General features: G+C 43.2%; 1 protein-coding gene across 1 annotated transcript in view, besides 5 other annotated features; it reads left to right on the top strand.

Moving 5' to 3' along the window:
• ANKRD46 (ankyrin repeat domain 46) overlaps positions 1-9,200 on the top strand; it is a 50,008-nt gene extending 40,808 nt beyond the window's left edge. Inside the window, exon 6 of the mRNA NM_001270379.2 lies at positions 8,313-9,200. Coding sequence (NP_001257308.1) covers positions 8,313-8,375 — 63 coding nt within the window. The 3' untranslated portion in view covers positions 8,376-9,200. The remainder of the gene's footprint in view (positions 1-8,312) is intronic.
• Positions 3,245-3,354: a silencer, noted in NCBI's record as "silent region_19418". NCBI's record gives its function as "represses an Ori minimal core promoter by ATAC-STARR-seq in GM12878 lymphoblastoid cells {active_cell/tissue: GM12878}" and the evidence as "EXISTENCE:reporter gene assay evidence [ECO:0000049][PMID:35858748]".
• Positions 3,455-3,634: an enhancer, noted in NCBI's record as "active region_27711". NCBI's record gives its function as "activates an Ori minimal core promoter by ATAC-STARR-seq in GM12878 lymphoblastoid cells {active_cell/tissue: GM12878}" and the evidence as "EXISTENCE:reporter gene assay evidence [ECO:0000049][PMID:35858748]".
• Positions 8,340-8,925: an enhancer, noted in NCBI's record as "H3K27ac-H3K4me1 hESC enhancer chr8:101522255-101522840 (GRCh37/hg19 assembly coordinates)". NCBI's record gives its function as "activates a minimal SCP1, AML or CMV promoter by ChIP-STARR-seq in primed H9 embryonic stem cells {active_cell/tissue: H9 hESC(primed)}" and the evidence as "EXISTENCE:reporter gene assay evidence [ECO:0000049][PMID:30033119]".
• Positions 16,284-16,443: an enhancer, noted in NCBI's record as "active region_27710". NCBI's record gives its function as "activates an Ori minimal core promoter by ATAC-STARR-seq in GM12878 lymphoblastoid cells {active_cell/tissue: GM12878}" and the evidence as "EXISTENCE:reporter gene assay evidence [ECO:0000049][PMID:35858748]".
• Positions 17,083-17,152: a silencer, noted in NCBI's record as "silent region_19417". NCBI's record gives its function as "represses an Ori minimal core promoter by ATAC-STARR-seq in GM12878 lymphoblastoid cells {active_cell/tissue: GM12878}" and the evidence as "EXISTENCE:reporter gene assay evidence [ECO:0000049][PMID:35858748]".

The raw sequence follows: 17,438 nt of genomic DNA, 5'->3' as shown, positions 1-17,438 counted from the left end.
ATTTTAGATATCTGAACCTAAAACCCAACCATTTCACATTTTAAAACAAGGTATTATTTGGTATAGTTTTATTTTTTTATTTTATTTATTTTTTTTTTTTGAGACAGAGTCTCGCTCTGTCGCCCAGGCTGGAGTGCAGTGGTGCAATCTTGGCTCACTGCAAGCTCTGCCTCCCGGGTTCACGCCATTCTCCTGCCTCAGCCTCCTGAGTAGCTGGGATTACAGGGGCGTGCCACCACGCCCAGCTAATTTTTTGTATTTTTTAGCAGAGACGGGGTTTCACCATGTTAGCCAGGATGGTCTCGATCTCCTGACCTCGTGATCCACCCGCCTCGGCCTCCCAAAGTGCTGGGATTACAGGCGTGAGCCACCCCACCCGGCCTGGTATATAGTTTTAATGTATCATGAATTTTCCAAGAATACAACCACGAGATAATTAAGGGAAGATTCGACTTCATTTTGTTCAAAACTTTATCAAGAATTGCACCGCTTTTCAAAAATCTTGTTATTGACAGCAGTGCTACTTATAATTAAGTCATCAACATAATTCTATTACAGATAGTAATGACTTCGTTGTTTCTTCTAATGTAGCTGGGCCTGAGCATTTACATATTGAAATATACATTTTATTATAAATTTCTTTCCCTTTATTTTGTGTTTCTATTACATAATTTATGTGAAATCATTTTATTGATTTTGACAGTTGTTAACTCCTACTTATCTGGGAGCCATTCTATAGCTTAGCTTATTTAATCTTTTTTAAGACAGAGTCTCACTCTTTCACCCAGGCTGGAGTGCAGTGGTGTGACCTAGGCTCACTACAACCTCCGCCTTCCAGGTTCAAGCTATTCTCCTGTCTCAGCCTCCCTAGGAGCTGGGATTACAGGTGTGCACTACCATGCCTGGCTAATTTTTGTATTTTTAGTAGAGATGGGTTTTCGTCATGTTGGCCAGGCTGTTCTTGAACTTCTGACCTCAAGTGATCTGCCTGCCTCGGCCTCCCAAAGTGCTGGGATTACAGGCGTGAGCCACTGCGCCCAGCCTTATGTAGTCATCTTGATGTACCTTTTCCAAATAGTTTATCTTGGAGTGAACACCAGGAAGTAGCTTTTCCCAAAGTTAATAGAACATTTGGGGAAAATGAGGCCAGTATCTGATTAAAACACCTTTAAAATTGTTCAGGCCGAAGCAATTCCAGCTGTGCTAAAATAGAACTTTGGGATGAGGTTAATTCCTTTGTGCTCCAAGTAGATTCAAAACAATTTTCTAAGGGGGGATCTTGGCCTTGGCTCCCCTCAAAGCACACATAGGCTGGCATTCTGTTCAGCCACTCATTCTTGACTTTTCACAGCACAACCAGACTGCTCCATAGCCAGAGGCATAGGTGTCTACATTCACCTGGGGACAGAGATTTGGCCACACTCCTTAGATGTCAAGGACTACAATCTGGAGTTCCTTGCTACCCAACACTCATTAAAAGCTTAGCTGATAACAGTATTTAGAGAATATTGCTTGGAGGATGTTTTAGAGCAGCACTGTCCAATCAAACTTGGCAACGTTGAAAATTTTCTATATGCTGTCCAATGCAGTAGCCACTTGCCACCTGTGGCTGTTTAAATTACATTAGAAATTCATTTCTTTATTAGCCACATTTCTGGTACTCTTGGGCAGCAAAGGTAAAGAAGATTCCATTTTTACAGGAAGTTCTTTGGGACCACACTGTTGTAGAAACCGCCTTGAGTTCAAGTCAGGTCAGTGGAGAGCTGGGTACTTGAACTGTGCTAATAGTAGTGCCCAGCCCAACTGCTTTTACTGAGCTCTTCATTAATAAGTGGTAATGCTATACTTATTAACTCAATCTTCACAAATGCTATTATTGTCCCCACCTCACCATTAGAGAAACTAAGGCATTTGAGGCAGGGTTGAATAGCATGCCCAAGGTAACACGGCCAGTAAGCGGCAGAGCTGGGATTTGAACTCAGGCAGTATGGGACCGGGGTCTCTTGTCACCATCCTGCTGTGATGCCTGTCTACTTAGTTGTGATGCAATTGTCTTGAAGTGAAAATTGTCTTCTGTGGATTTAACCATTGGATCTATAAAGGAAAGCTACTGAGGATGCTGTTGGCACCATTCTTTATGAAGACCCCTGACAAGGAACTTTTGTTTCTTAACACGCACAACTGTATTTCTGCTGAGCAGTTACTTTACTTTCAATTTATGTTCTCTAGGAGTTGCGTAATTGATCAGGTAGAATTCATCTTTCACACTGGATGCTGAAAAGCTTAATGCTAAATTTGGGTTTCACCACAAGCAACTGTAATGTACGTCATTATGATGATTACTAGAACCTCATTCCTATTTATTTTAAATCCTTATCTTTAGTTTTATTTTCTTGTTCTAAATATTCACTTTAGCCTACTTAAGTTGTTTTTAGATTATGATGGGGGGGTGGATAGTTAGATAGCTATTAGTGTGAATTGATAGGACTACCATAAAATTACTTTTTGATTTCTGGAACATAACAGCAGAAAATGTATTGACCTTTTGCAATTTGAAACAATACTTTGTTGCCTCATATTCAAAATGCAGTCTTGGTTTCTAGCATACCTGGAAATGTCAGTTTACCTTATTTGTGTCTTTCTGTGTTCCAAAAAAGGATTTATGTTCAGCTGAATAAGCCGATATTATTCTAAACTATGGAAATCAAATGACCTGAGTTCTATTCTAGCATTCTAATGAATCATTTGAATGAAGCCTGAAAAATGAACATTAACAAGTTACTGGGGGCCAGTGACTCACACTTGTAATCCCAGCATTTTGGGAGGCCGAGGCGGGTGGATCACCTGAGGTCGAGAGTTCGAGACCAGCCTGACCAATGTGGAGAAACCCCATTTCTACTGAAGACACAAAATTAGCTGGGCATGGTGGCGCATGCCTGTAATCCCAACTACTTGAAAGGCTGAGGCAGGAGAATTGCTTGAAATCTGGGAGGTGGAGGTTGCAGTGAGCTGAGATCATGCCATTGCACTCCAGCCTGGGCAACAGGAGTGAAACTCCATCTCAAAAAAAAAAAAAACAAAAACAAGTTACTGGAATCACAGAATTTTAGAGATGGGGCATTAGAAGTCATCTGGAGTGGAGAGGGTTGGGGAGACCAAGGGGAACTGAATGACTGTGGTCCCATTCTTAGGAAAGGAGCAGAACCATTATTTGAATCCAGATACAGTCTGTTGTTCTTCCCTCTTCCATACTGCCCCTCCCTCACACGCTGCCATCACCGCCCCCCCCCTCCCCCGCACCTCAGCGTGCCATTCTAAATATTAAAATTACAAGAGTCTGGTGTGAAATACCTAAAGATAGACTGTGTCAGTATTGTGTTCTGTGTACTTTCATAGTTAGGCCAAATACAGACTGATCTTTTCATCAAGCTGATAGTCATAGCTGAGGATGTGGATTTCTGTAACCTAGTTTCTATTTGTGTGTCAACAGGAGACTCACTCTAAACTTACCTTCTCTTGATAAACAATTTTCTTTTGAGAAATCTTGCCACTTCTCAAAAAAAATCCATTTCGGTTAATGCACTTTCTCTGTAAAGCACCTTGCACCATGGAAATACCGTGAGGAAGCTGAGCAACAGGCCCCGGGGTTTCAAGAGCAGGCATGATGTTACCACATTTTGTACTGGCTAGTCACAGTACTTTTCTTAACAGCGAAGCAATTATATATTCAAGCTCATTGTCCGCTGCATACTTTTGATTCAAGTGAGGAGATCAATGGTTGCAGGAACATTTGTCAACTTAAGCCCTGGGATTATAAAATGCCTTTTTTGATGGCATTTAAAAAAACAAAAACAAAAACAAAAAAACATTTACTGCCTGGTTCTCCAGTGTGCCAGAGATGTCTTCAAGGTATTAATTAAGCTCTTCAATATGTTTTTCTCTGTATCCTTTTCCACATCTTTAGAAGCATCTCTGAAAAGGCAATGAAATATGTGTAAAGATGGGGGAATAAGGCTGGGTGTGGTGGCTCACTCCTGTAATCCCAGCACTTTGGGAGGCCAAGGTGGTTGGATCACTTGAGGTCAGAAGTTTGAGACCAGCCTGGCGAATATGGTGAAACCCCATCTCTACTAAAAATACAAAAATTAGCCGGGTGTGGTGGCACGTGTCTGTAGTCCCAGCTACTTGGGAGGCTGAGACACAAGAATCACTTGAGCTCTGGGAATCACTTGAGCCCCAGGGGTGGAGGTTGCAGTAAGCCGAGATTGCACCACTGCACTCCAGCCTGGGTGACAGAGTGAGACTCTATCTCAAAAAAAAAAAAAAAAAAAAAAGAAGATGGAGGAATAACCCACACTCAGGATAAAACTATCACTGTTTCTGCTTAGGAATCACTTTTCAGGATGTTCAATAGAGTCTTCTCCCTTTTTTTCCCTAAAGATTTATTATTGTTTTGTTGTTTTTAACTTGGATTATTTTTTCATGTCTGAATTAGTTTAAGAATCAATTTAAACGTAAGCTCTGACCTAGGGAAATTTCAGCTTAAAATGCACAATAGTAAATCTCCTAATTTTTTTTTTAAAAATAGATAAATATTTGCTGGAATCATTACAAATTAATGTTTGCATATTTTATGGATAGATACATCTTGGCAAATTTCAATGGTTTTCCTCTTTTTCACAGTATCCCTTTATGTACATTTACAATTTTATGGTATGCAACATCAGCTTTACAGAATGCTTTTGTGTTTTTATGTGTCCCTAGGCCAAATTACTTTTTAGAGGTTCAAGAATAATTGCTAGCCTAATTCTCTTGCATATTCATATCATAAATTGCAAATAGGAAATGTGGCATTGAAGAGTTAGTTATTTCTTCCTGTGATTGGGCTATGAGAAGGTTATTCTCTGCCACAATAAAAGTTACTCCCTTTCTTTGGGGATTAATTTCTAAATTTGAAGACTCTGGGTCAGAGTTGTCTGGACTGTTTCACCGAAATTTCAGTCCATAAGAAATAAAAATAGGTTTTGAAGTAGTTTCTAGGTCACTGGCACAGAAAGCTGGCAAAAATCTGTAACTTACTTTGGATAGTCCTAGTTAGTACAATTCCACCAGCACAGTCTGTTCTTTTAGACTGTGATTCAAGTTTAGGAGAAAATAAAACTTAGAGATCCTTAAATGTTACCCTAACCCCAAAAGTGCTTTTGCATTCTTACACTATAACTTAAGTTTGGGTAATTCTCTTTGTAGATCCCCTGATTTGGGGGAAAGGCAGTCATATTTAACCAGCTAACAGTTCTATATTTCACCTTATTGAACAATCCAAATTTATTTGTTATTTTAGGTAAGTTCCAATTTTGGATCAGACAGTGGAGGCTGTGGTTATACAAGAAAACACGTAGACTTGGAGCCAACAAATCCCAACTTAATATGAACTGACCTTGATCAAATACATTTTCTGAATCTGTTTTCATGTTTAAAACAAATAATAGGAACCTCACAGACCTATCACGATTAATACAAATAATAACTGTATTATTTAAGTACTGCATGTGTACCAGGCCCTACCAGGGTTGATACTGTTATTATCCCCATAAAGAAAGTGAGGCTTAAGAAGTTAAGTATGTATCCTAAAGTCAGGGAGTAGAGTCATTTTTGAAACCAGATTCTGCCTAACTCACTCCAGTGATTTTGTGCTCAACTATTATGCCGTCCATGGTGCTTCTTTGAAGGAAGACCCACATCTGAAAGGACCTGGTGCTCTGTAGGGACTCAATGTATGTTATATGTGTTTTATTGACTAAACTCCAGCTTCTTATGGTCAACTCATCTACATACTATCTCAAAATTTCTGATATGTTGAGGAAGTATAACTACATTATCAATTACAAATCCTGTTCATGGTTTTTCATAGCAGTGGCCTTATAAGACCCCATAGAACCTTCCAGGCATCATCTCAGGAACTCTAGCAGTCTCTTCTCAAGAAAGCCTCAATAGAGCCCAGAGATCTCTCCAGTAATGGGAGAAGGAAAATGCCTGGGCTTCTAACCCCCGAACCAGCCAATCTCAGGTTTACATTGAACAGGGAAGTGTATACGTTTTAACCAATCATGAAATTTTACAATGCCCAATGCACATCCTGTGACACTCAAGAGGATGATTTTGATTGAGTTCCATGAGTAAAAATTCAGATATTGGTAGTCACAATTGCAAAATTCTTTCAAAAGATATTCCTCTAATAGAACTACTCTCAGAACTAAGAGTCAGTGAGAATTATGGAAGCTTATATTTTCTTTCTGGTTGAGATTTTTTTCTGTTTAGGAAGCATGAAACGGTTCTGTCATGATTTTTGACACTATAAGACCCTAGAACTGTGGTGACATCATCTTGCCTAATTACAAAAGAGTTCTAATGGCTGAGCTCAGAAATCCACTAAACTTCTTATAATCTTCAAAAAGTATGTGTTGGTCACAAGAAACAGGAATGCACTACATCCTCAATGAATAACTTCAGCTATTGTCCGGTCATCATTCTGGAATTCTCATTCTGGGAAGTGCCAGTCCCAGTCCCCAGTGGAAAGAGCTCTGTCCTATCTTATTTCTAATTCTATACCTTTCCAAGGCCTGCCCTGCCCTAGCCTTGAGCTGCAGGTGGAAGAGAGGCTTGAAGGTAAGCAGCTGCCTTGCTGCCTGCACCTGGCTCAGAGAATGCTATAAATAGCAGGGTCCTGGAGCTCCCCACCCTCGAAATGATGCTGTTCTACAGACCAAACACCTGACCTTACTCAGAATGCAGTTTCTGTTAAATAAACAGGCTCATTCATTCTCACAATAAAGAAGTTATTCCAATTCCAGAGTTATGTGGCAGAGCCTCCTTTCCCCCTTTCTCCTACTGATTGAAATTCTTTATTGTCTTTTTGTTCGTTTGTTTAAGATGGAGTCTCACTGTGTCACCCAGGCTGAAGTGCAGTGGCACAATCTCGGCTCACCGCAGCCTCCGCCACCTGGGTTCAAGCAATTCTTCTGACTCAGCTTCCCGAGTAGCTGGGGTTACAGGCATGCACCACCCCACCCAGCTAATTTTTGTATTTTTAGTAGAGATGGCGTTTCACCATTGTTGGCCAGGCTGGTCTCGAACTCCTGACCTCAAGTGATCTGCCCGCATTGACCTCCCAAAGTGCTGGGATTACAGGCGTGAGCCACCATGCCCAGCCGAAATTCTTCATTGTCTTTAATGGAGCCCTAATGACTCAGCCAACAGCCTAACTTTGGTTTATTGGTTTACAACTGCTCAAATAACATTCCCAGCCATGGAATAAATACAGACAGTCAACTTATTTCAATGTCAACCTTTTAAAATAGGTATGTGTATATGATTTTTTTTTGTCATTTAATTTGGATAAAATAAGTAGTAATGAGAAACACAGTGCTTCTGAGTTACAAGAATAGATGTGAAAGGATGAGATGACATGCCTACCCTCAGTACACCACAGGACACACACACACACACACACACACAACTTGGTGTCTACCTCACCATTTACCAGATACATAAGAAAATAAACAAGACACTCCTTGTCATAAACACCCACTCTTTTGTGACTGGGAGGCAGAAGAGTGTGGTGGTGAGCACAGGGGTCTCGCACTCAGGCAGACCTGGGTTTGGATCCCCAGCCTACACTATGATGGAGTGTCAGTGGGCAGGTTACCTACCCCTGCTCCCCTAGCCTTAGGTACACCATCTGTTCAATGGGGATATTCCTGACTCAGCTCATCTGTTACATGGGAATAGTAATGCTAACCAGGGGATCAGCTGCGATGTGTAAGCCGCTCAACACTGTTGTTGGTGCACAGCAGCTCTCAATAATCAGCGTAATTATATGATTACTTCCTCTTTAGGCCAAGCACAATCTAGAGCTCTGCCCTGTGCTGCATTAGGAAGCATTTATTTGCTGAAAGACAGGTCAACCTCTATTCTTGTGTAATTGGTCAGGCCTGCAGGCAGTGGGTGATTAGGTTCCCAGATGGCTTCAGCTCTTTGAGCTTTCATTAAATAATACCTTAATTATTAGCTCGAGAGGACATTGAACACAGTCCTTGCCAATCTTCCCAGCCTTCCCTATAGGAAGCCAAGGACAGTTGTGAAGCGGCAGGACCCTTCCTGTGAGCGTTGAGAGCTGAGATGGGCAGAGGAGAAGCAAGCCTGTGCTTTCTGGTTCTATATATTTATGATTGTATCTGGTCCTGGCACATCTCTGCAGCTTAACAGAACTGGGATTTTTTTTTTTTTTTAATCTGTCTTCCCCACATTTACAGAGAAGGACACTGAGGCTTGGAAGCTTTGCAAGGCAAGACAGAAGCCGAATCCAGGCCATCTAATCTCTAGGTCAGTGTCCTGTGCTCCTGAGCCTCAGAAGGCAAGAAAGAAGGGATACAGACGTCAGCGTCCCTGTTGGGTGGGGCTGTTTCCGTCACGACTTGTGTCATGGAGCATCATCTCAAAGCTCTGCAGTTAGGAGGCAGAGGGACCTGCTACCACCTGTCCCCTCCTCTCCAGTCCTGCCCTGCAGGCAGCCCGGGCACCTGCTGTCTTCCTGGCCTCCCAGATCCTCAAGATGGAGCTCCAGGAACCATCCCCTCCTCCGCCCGGGCAGGATGCCACCTCCACAAGGCAAATCACATCCATTTGATCTTGAACAAAAGGCTGCCGTGGTGTCTGAAATGACAACTCCCAGGCGGGTGATGTCATGCTGTTTTGTTTGTCTCCATGGACTGTGGGGATCCAATTTCAGTTGTGAAGAAAACGGTCTGGGGAAAAAAGTTACTTCATTCGGAAAATTCCGAGAAGCCATAAATACAGTTTGCAGCTGAGGAAAGCACTTTCACACTCAGACAATGGATTTGGGTGGAAGAAAAGACTTCCCGCCCCTAAGGCTGAGCCCCTTCACTCCCACCCATGGCCACCGGCAGCCCGCTTCTGCCAGCAGATAGATGTGTGCATGGCTCTGGCAAGATCTCAAGCAACCCCCCTTCCCCAAGGAGACTCTCCGTGACCCAGTGGCAAGTTGGCAGGGGATGTGTTTTCCCTGGTTCTCATCCTAAATTGTCTCCTGCCCAGAGTCCATCCCTGAAGTATCAGGCACTTCCCTCTCGTAAATGGTTGACCTGCATCTCTGAGCTGCTGTTAAAGCAAATTTAAAATAACATTTTGTTGTTTTCATTTCTTATTCCCTTTCTAGCCCTGCAATCTCTAGTGAATCCTTTTTGCTTTTCTTATTCTTTTCTTTTTTCTTTACATTTGGCACAGTGAGAAAGAGGCAGAAACAGAGGGTAAATTTTATTGCTCTTTTCATGAGAAACTTAGCATATAATTCCCAGTCCAGATCTTCAGCCCCAAGTCAGGAAGGAATCATCCCTGCTGGGAAAGACCAGGGCCAGAGAGCTTAGATCCAGGGGCAACTTTTCTAGAGATGTTGCTCCCTGGATTCTCCCACTTTATTTTTTTAATCCCATAAAAACAATATGGCAAGATAACAGAATCTTGGAAGATAGGAGAAAGTCTCTCTAGACCACCCCTCCTTTCATTACATGTCTTCCTGGTGCCAGGTCCTGTTGGCCACTGAGCCCCTTTCTGTCTTCCCTGCTCCCCTGTGACTCCTAGCTTTGTTAGGGCACCCTTCTCCCCCGGGCCTGGCCTCTAGGAAGTCACAGCTCTACGGCATTCCCCAGGCTCTCAGACTCATCTTTCCTGAAACTCTCCCACAGCCTCTTATATCCATCCCCAAAACAGTTCCCAGGGTCAATGCACCCCTTGCGTTTAGTACTGAGAACACAAAGCCTCCTTCCCTTAGCCTACAAAGCACACGGATCTCTGAGCAGCATGTGCAGTGTCAGTGCATGACCATTGCTGGGGAGGAAAACTTTTCTTCTGTGCTCTTACATTCAGTATTTAGGGGCCTGTACATTAAACTGACAAAAGACAGATTAGCAAAAGAAAAAACCAGGCATGGTGTGGCTTATGCCTCTGATCCCAGTGACTCTGGAGGCTGAGGCAGGAGGATCACTTAAGCCCAGGAGTTCGAGGCTGCAGTGAGCCCTGATCATGCCACTACACTTTAGCCTGGAGGACAGTGAGACCCTGCCTCCAAAAAAAAGAGAACATATTATTGTTCAAATTTGTGTGTACATGAGAGTTCACACACACACAAAAGCTGACTCCAGGAGGAGGTTAGAATCTGGGGCTTATATGCCATCTTAACAGGGAGTGGGCAGATGCAGAGGGGAACTTCTACATGACCAAACAACTTAGGAAAAATAAATAGCTTCTTAGGTGAGTCCACGGGAAGTATGTATTGTCCCCATGAACTGTGGGGATAGTTTTGTAACAATATCCGTTCAGGCAATTTCTTATCCAGGTGATGCCTTGTGTTGACTTCTCTTCAATGATAAGAGTCAATCTTCTCTTCTTGTGAAATTCCCGGGAAAGGATTTATAATAGTTGAATTCTTTGGGGAGGCTTTGCATTTAGGAAGATAAGGGGAGTTCAGGAAGAGCCTCTTCCTGCAGCTGTTGATTCTCAAATGTCTTCAGCTCAAAATACTCCACATGGTCCTGTGGCATACTGCAGACCTCTTCACCCTGCAAGTCTTTGGTCTAGAATACCCTGCCGGACGCCAGCAGCCCGCCCACAGGCCTAAGCTCAGGGCCCAAGCTCCTGAGCTCCTCTTCCAGGCCTGTACTGACGCTGGCCCAGGTCCGATCAGGCACCCAGCCCCCGATTCCGTGGCTGCCCACATGAACCTCAGTGGGCGACCCAACACGTGTGCAATGTTATGAGGGAAGCTTAGGGAAGGGAGGCTGGAGCCAGCCTTGTTGAATCCCCCACTCCTCACCCAGCTCCTGGCATACTGTAGGAGTTCAATAAATGTCTGAGGAACAAATGGAGGAGACTATGAATGTTTTGTGAGGGCTTTCTGCCCCTCAGGCAAAGCATCACAAGATGATATAAGGATACAAAGCCAAAGCTTTTAAAGAAATCCTCATTAACTGAATTAGTCATATTCTGAAGTGGCTTTTATCTTAATGAAATTTCACTGTATCTCAGTATTATTTGAAATAAAGGAGCCATCAGTTTGGATTTAGGAAATGTGGATTTTCAGGGTCTTGGGATTTGATTTCTAGATGTGAGTTGTTTTTCCTCATACACCAGAACCATTCTGTAGCAATATAATGCAAGCCACTTATATAATTTTAAATTTTCAAGTAGTCACATTAAAAGAGTAATAAGATACAAGCGGCTGGGCATGGTGGCTCATGCCTGTAATCCCAGCACTTTCGGAGGCCTAGGAGGGAGAAATGTTTGAGCCTAAGAATTCGAGACCAGCCTGGGCAACATATTGAAACCCCCCCACCAATCTCTACAAAATATCAAAAATTTGGCCAGGTGTGGTGGCACAAACCTGTGGTCCCAGCTACTTGGGAGGTTGAAGTGGGAGGATTGCTTAAGCTCAGGAGGTCGAGGCTGCAGTGAGCCATGATCCCACCACCACACTCCAGCCTGGGTGACAGAGTGAGACCCTGTATCCAAAAAGAAAAAAGAAAAGAAAAGAAGAAAAAGAAAGAAAGGAAAGAAGAAAGAAAAGAAAGAAAGAAGTGAACTTCATTTTAATCATATATTTTATTTAACTCAATATATCCAAAATAGTATTGACATGTAATCAATATTTAAAATTATTAATGAGATATTTTACATTCCTTTTTGTACTAAGTCTTTGAAATTTTACAGTTTCAACACATCTCATTTGGGACTGGCCAAATAAGTACTCAGTAGCCACATGGCCAGTGGCTGGTACCCTGGACAGTGCAGTCACAGACATATGTCCTCTGAGTATTCCTGGAAGGTCCCCTGAGAACTATGACGTTAAGCGGTGGGCAGTGGCTCTGAGCACACAGCTGCAGCCTAGCGAACCAGAGGCCCAGGTCTGTCTGAGGTCACGAGGCACAACCAAAGACAATGAAGAAGAATCCGGAGCCTCTCTCAATTCTCCCAATCCTGGGACAGGGCAGGATCCCTCCAGATCCACCTTTTCTCTGTCGTCTCCTGGATCAGTCTGCTCAGACCTGGGCTGATAGGCCAGAGGTAGGAAGTTTGCTCTTGCTGGTGAAACTTTATTACTTCATTCAACAAGTACCTACTGGGCAGCTACTACGGGCCAGGCACTACTCTAGGACTTGGGATACAGCCGTGAACAAAGCAGTTTCCTGCCTTTGAGTAGATAGACAATGAAAAGTAAACAAAATAAACAAGCAGGTTGAATAATATACTGTACTGGAAAGTGGTGAGTGCTCTGAAAACAAAGGAAAAATAAAACAAGGTAAGGAAATAAGAAGTGCTGGGAGTGGGGCAGGTTACATTAAATTCTGCGGTCAGAGCTGGCCTCATTGTGAAGGTGAGATTTGAGAAGTCTGAATGCACAGAGTTGAAGGAAGTGAGCGAGTTGGCCAGGAGAGTACCCCAAACAGAGAGAACAGGTAGAGCAGAGGCTCTCAGGTGGGCGGGAGCACACCTGACATGATGGGGAAACTACAAAAAGACCTGAATATCTGGAGAAGATTGGGCAAGGGCGAGAGTGTTGGGAGCTGAACTCACAGAGCTAAGGTGTCGGGAAGGAGAAAGCAGATCATTTAGGGCCTTGCAGACCATTGCCAGGGCACTGGCTTTAATTTTGGGAAAAATGAAGAATTGCTATGTGATTTTGAATGTAGTAGCAGTGAAGATGCCGAAAGATCAATGGATTGTGGATGTATTTTGAAGGTAGAGCTAGTGGAGCCTGAGAAAGGGTAGTCAAGGATGACTCCTAGTTTTTTTATTTGAGCAAATTGCAAGATGCCAGCCCAGGAAAGGCTGCAGCAGGGACAGGTTTAAGGGAGAAGATCAGGAGTTCGGTTTGGGGCACGTTGGGTTGGAGATGTCTATTCAACAACCAAAGAGAAATGCCAAGTAGGCCTTTGGAATTATGAGTCAAAATTTGGGAGAAGGGTCTGGGCTAGAGATAGAATTTCTCAATCATATTGGAAATTCTCAGCATATAGACGGAATTTACAGCCCTGGGACTTGGTGAAATCATCCGAGGAGGGAGCACAGAAAGGGGAATCCTGAGGCAGCCGACATGAAGGGGTTGGAGAGGTAAGGAGAAGCAGCACAGAAGACAGAGGAGGAGTAATCAGAGGTAGGCAGAAAACCAAGAGACTACTGTGTCCTGGAAGCCAAAGGAAGAAAAAGGAGTTAACTGTGTGGAATGCTCCTGACAGGTCAAATGAAATGTGACTGGGAAATGGGAACTAACCATTGGATTTAGCAACACGGAGGTCACTGCCGCCTTGATGAGAATGGTTTCCATGGCATGATGGGAATAGAAGCCTGGCTGGGGTGGGCTTCAGAAAGAACATATGGGGTAGAAGTGGAGACAGTGAGTATCAGCAGCTCTTTCAGGAGTCTTGCAAAAGGGGAGCTGGCAGGGTAAACGGATCAAAGAAAGCTTTTCAGAAAATCAACTTTATTAAGGCATAATTTACATATAATAAATTTGAAGTATACAGTTTAATGATTTTTGACAAATGTATGCATCCATGTAACCACCACAACAATCAAGATATATATTACCAGCATCACCCCAAAAGGTTCCTTGTGCTCCTTTTGTCAATCTCTCCCATCATCCCCTCCCCAATCCGCAGCTCCAGGCAACCACAGACCTGCTTTCTGTCTCTGAGATTAGTTTTGCCTTTTCTAAAATGTCGTATAAATTGAATCATATAGGATGTGCTCCTGTGTCTGGCTTTTTTTGCTCAGCATATACTTGAGAAATATCCATGTTGCTGTATCTATGAGTAGTTTCTTACTTTATATTGAGTTATATTTCATTGTATATATATACCGCAATTTGATTACCCATTACTTGTTGATGGACATTTGAGTTGTTTCTAGTTTTGGGCCATTATGATGAAAAATGGTATGAATATTTGTATACAAGTCTTTGTACGGACATCATTTCCTTCCTACTGGGTAGATATCAAGGAGTAGAATCGTTGGGTCATTTAGTGATGTATCTTTCATTTTATAAGAACTACCGAACTGTTTTCCAAAATAACTACATAATTTCACATTCTCACCAGCAATGTATGAGCTCCAAATTCTCCACAGATTTATCAACACCTGATATTGTCCGTCTTTAAATTTTAGAGGAAGTTTTTGTTATTTTTTTAATAGACTTATCTTTGGAAGAGCTTTAGATTCATAGAAAAGTTGAAAAGACAGTACAGGGTAGAGATTTCCAGAATACCCTTCGCCTAGCTTTCCCTCACGTATATTTGTCAAAACTAAGAAATTCACATTGGTATAAAACTAATAGCCCAACTATCAACTCTAATCAGAGTTTTTTGAATTTTCTCACTAATGTCTTTTTTCTGTTCCAAGATATCACTCTGCATTTTGTCATCATGTCTCAGTCATCCCAATCTGTGATCACTTCTTAGTCTTCCCTTGTTTATCATGACCTTAAGGGCTTTGAAGAATACTGGTCATGTATTCTGTAGAATGTTCCTCAGTTTGGGTTTATCTCATGTTTTCTTATAACTCAATAGATTTGAAGAATACCACAGTCGGGAATTGCCCTTCTCATGAGATCGTATCAGCGGGTGAATGATAGCAACATGACTTATCAGCGGTGATGTTAACCTTCATCATTTGGTTAACAAGGTACCTGCTGGGTTTCTTTCCTATAAAGTTACTATTTTCCCTTTCCATACTCTACTCTTTGGAAGTGAGTCACTAAATCCAGTCCACTCTCAAAGAGAGTGGATTTAAGCTCGGCTTCCTGGAGGGGAGAGTATCTACATATGCTATTTGGAATTCTTCTATAGAGAAGATTTTTCCCTTCTCGTTTATTAATTTGTTGAATCACTTATAATGAAGGCATTTTTTTAAAGATGGAAAAAATAACAGGTATTTATTTGTATGTTGATGGAAATGATCCAATAGAGAGCAAAATATTGTGAGTTTCTTTAGTTTCTATAGCAAGTATTGAAAATTTTTTTCACTGTTAGCTTTCCACCAGGCCTTTCCTCATGTCTTTTACAAATTCACTTCTTGGCCAGGCATGGTGATTCACACCTGTAATCTCAGCACAGGAGGCCAAGGTAGGAGGATCACTTAAGGTCAGGAGATCAAGCCCAGCCTTGGCAACATAGCAAAACTGTCTCCCCAAAAATTTATAAAAATAAAACAAAATAAAATAAATAAAATGTTTCATTTACCCACAATTCCGTTTCCTTAGGCCCTGTGGGAGGTCAGCTGTTGATGTCAGGGCCGACACTTCACAGCTGGCCGGTGGAACCAGGTGTCAGTTCTGGTGATCTGGCAGAAGTCCTTGGTACCTGGTGGCAGGGGACCCCTCCCTCCCCAACACACTCACTCTTCACACCTCCTCATCTCCTCAGCCACTCACAGGAGTTCAGTGCAGGGCTGGGGAAGGGCCTGCGTTTTCCTCTGGGTAGGAAAGAGCCAGGTATCCATCATGGGGAGCTGGGGCAGCTATAGGCCTCTGGAGGAGACTGGAGGGACTAAGGGGTCCTTGGGGGATAATTCAACAGGAAGGAAGCAGCAGATAGAATTTCTTGGCTCCAACTCAGAATCCAGAAAAGTGGGCCCTGTGTTTCTTCTGTCCCTTTGTTGGGAGGATGGAACTCTGAGGACAATGATCACAGCCACGAGCCCAGCTAGAGACTCAGGGGAGACATGTCTGAGCACCCCAGGATGCGGGAATGAGATATTCATAACCTTAGAGATCCAGGTTAGAAATTCAATGGTGGAAGCGACAGCCTGGGGAGAGGCCTAGGACAGATCCTGGATGGAACTTGGACCACTGCCAGTGGCCTACCACCTCATTCCCACCCCATCCTCCCCATCCCCACCACACAGAGACCTCTAATCTGGCCTCCAGCTGGGGAGCTCCCCACCCACACACCTGGCCCCTGCAGGGTGTGGGAGTGGTGGAGAGAGAGTGGTGGTGACAAAGTTGACATCTCCTAGGCAGCAGAAATGGTCTCCAGGCATGCATTTTGCAGAGGCTAGCAGAATGGCATCTATGTAGATATGTATATTTGTATATGAATCAATCCACACCCTGCGGTGACACCAGAAAAAACTGTCACCATTGAAAGGAAGGTGGTAAATTCCCTCTCATTCAGAGAATACCTTTCTCTTCTCAACCAGCTGCCCACGGGTTTCTCATCAAGATAGTAATTCATTGTACAGGGAAGGGAACTCACCATGTGGAAATTCCCACTTCCTCGGAGAACAGTGTGCACAGTGTTAACCTTGGTGAGTAAGAATTCCCCCTCCTCTCACACCCCCATTGGCAGCTTTCCTCTCGGAAGCCTGTGGTCACCTTCAGTCTTATCCACATCTGAAAAGTGACGTAGGGGCAAATCTGCCAAGCACCAACAACCCGAGCGATTGGAGCAGATATTGTCATCTTTTTGGTCTGCCCAGCAACCCCTCTGACAATAGCACTTCAGTTTCCTTTGGTGGAAAGCGGCTCTTCCTCCCTCTTTTCATGTGATTCTGGTAGGGGAGGGAGTACGTGACCCAAGCCTGGCCATCACAGAGACACATCTCTCTGGCCACAGGGAAGGACATATAGCCCAAGCTGGGCCAGTCAGTCACCTTTGGCCAACAATGCTAGACTGTAAGGCAGGGCAGAGCCTGTCTGAGGATGGAAAACTAAGAGATGGACAGAGGCCTGAAAGCAACCTCAGAGCTCCTGGGTCCAGCTGGTCTTTTTAGTTATAAGCAACTTATAAGCAACTTTCTTTCTTTCCTTCCTTCTTTCCTCCCTTCCTCCCTCCCTCCCTCCCTCCCTCCCTCCCTTCCTTCCTTCCTTCCTTCCTTCCTTCCTTCCTTCCTTCCTTCCTTCCTTTTCTATTAAATGAAATTTATAGGAGGTCACTGATTTGGGCTGAGCTCCTGCAGGAGGCCCCAGTAGACCAAACCAAGATGGAGTCACTCATGCTAAGTTCCATATCACCAAACTGAAACTAAGTCATCAGACCTTCCCAGAACTCAAGACAGAGAGAGATAATATGCAAATCCCCAAACAGGCCAGTTGTAGCCAGCATGATAAGGAAGTCCCCTCTACTTTAACCTTTATAAGGAAAGTAACCTGAAGTAACCTGAGCTTACCAATCTGCTTTTTGTTCCCTGTGTCTGCTTTCTTCACCCTTTTCTGCCTATAAAGCCAAGCTTCTCTGTTTAGCTCATCAGAGCACTTTTCCTAAAGTTTTAGAGGAGATGCTGCCCCAATTCATGAATTACAAATAAAAACCAATTCAATCATTTAACTAAATGTGTTGTAATTTTGCCTTTCGACATTTCTCCCTTTTTCT

This window comes from Homo sapiens, chromosome 8 (assembly GCF_000001405.40).
Source record: "Homo sapiens chromosome 8, GRCh38.p14 Primary Assembly".
In the NCBI taxonomy this organism is placed as follows: domain Eukaryota; kingdom Metazoa; phylum Chordata; class Mammalia; order Primates; family Hominidae; genus Homo; species Homo sapiens.
The sequence above is the reverse complement of the archived record's forward strand: the minus strand, read 5'-3'. Positions and strand labels throughout refer to the sequence as shown.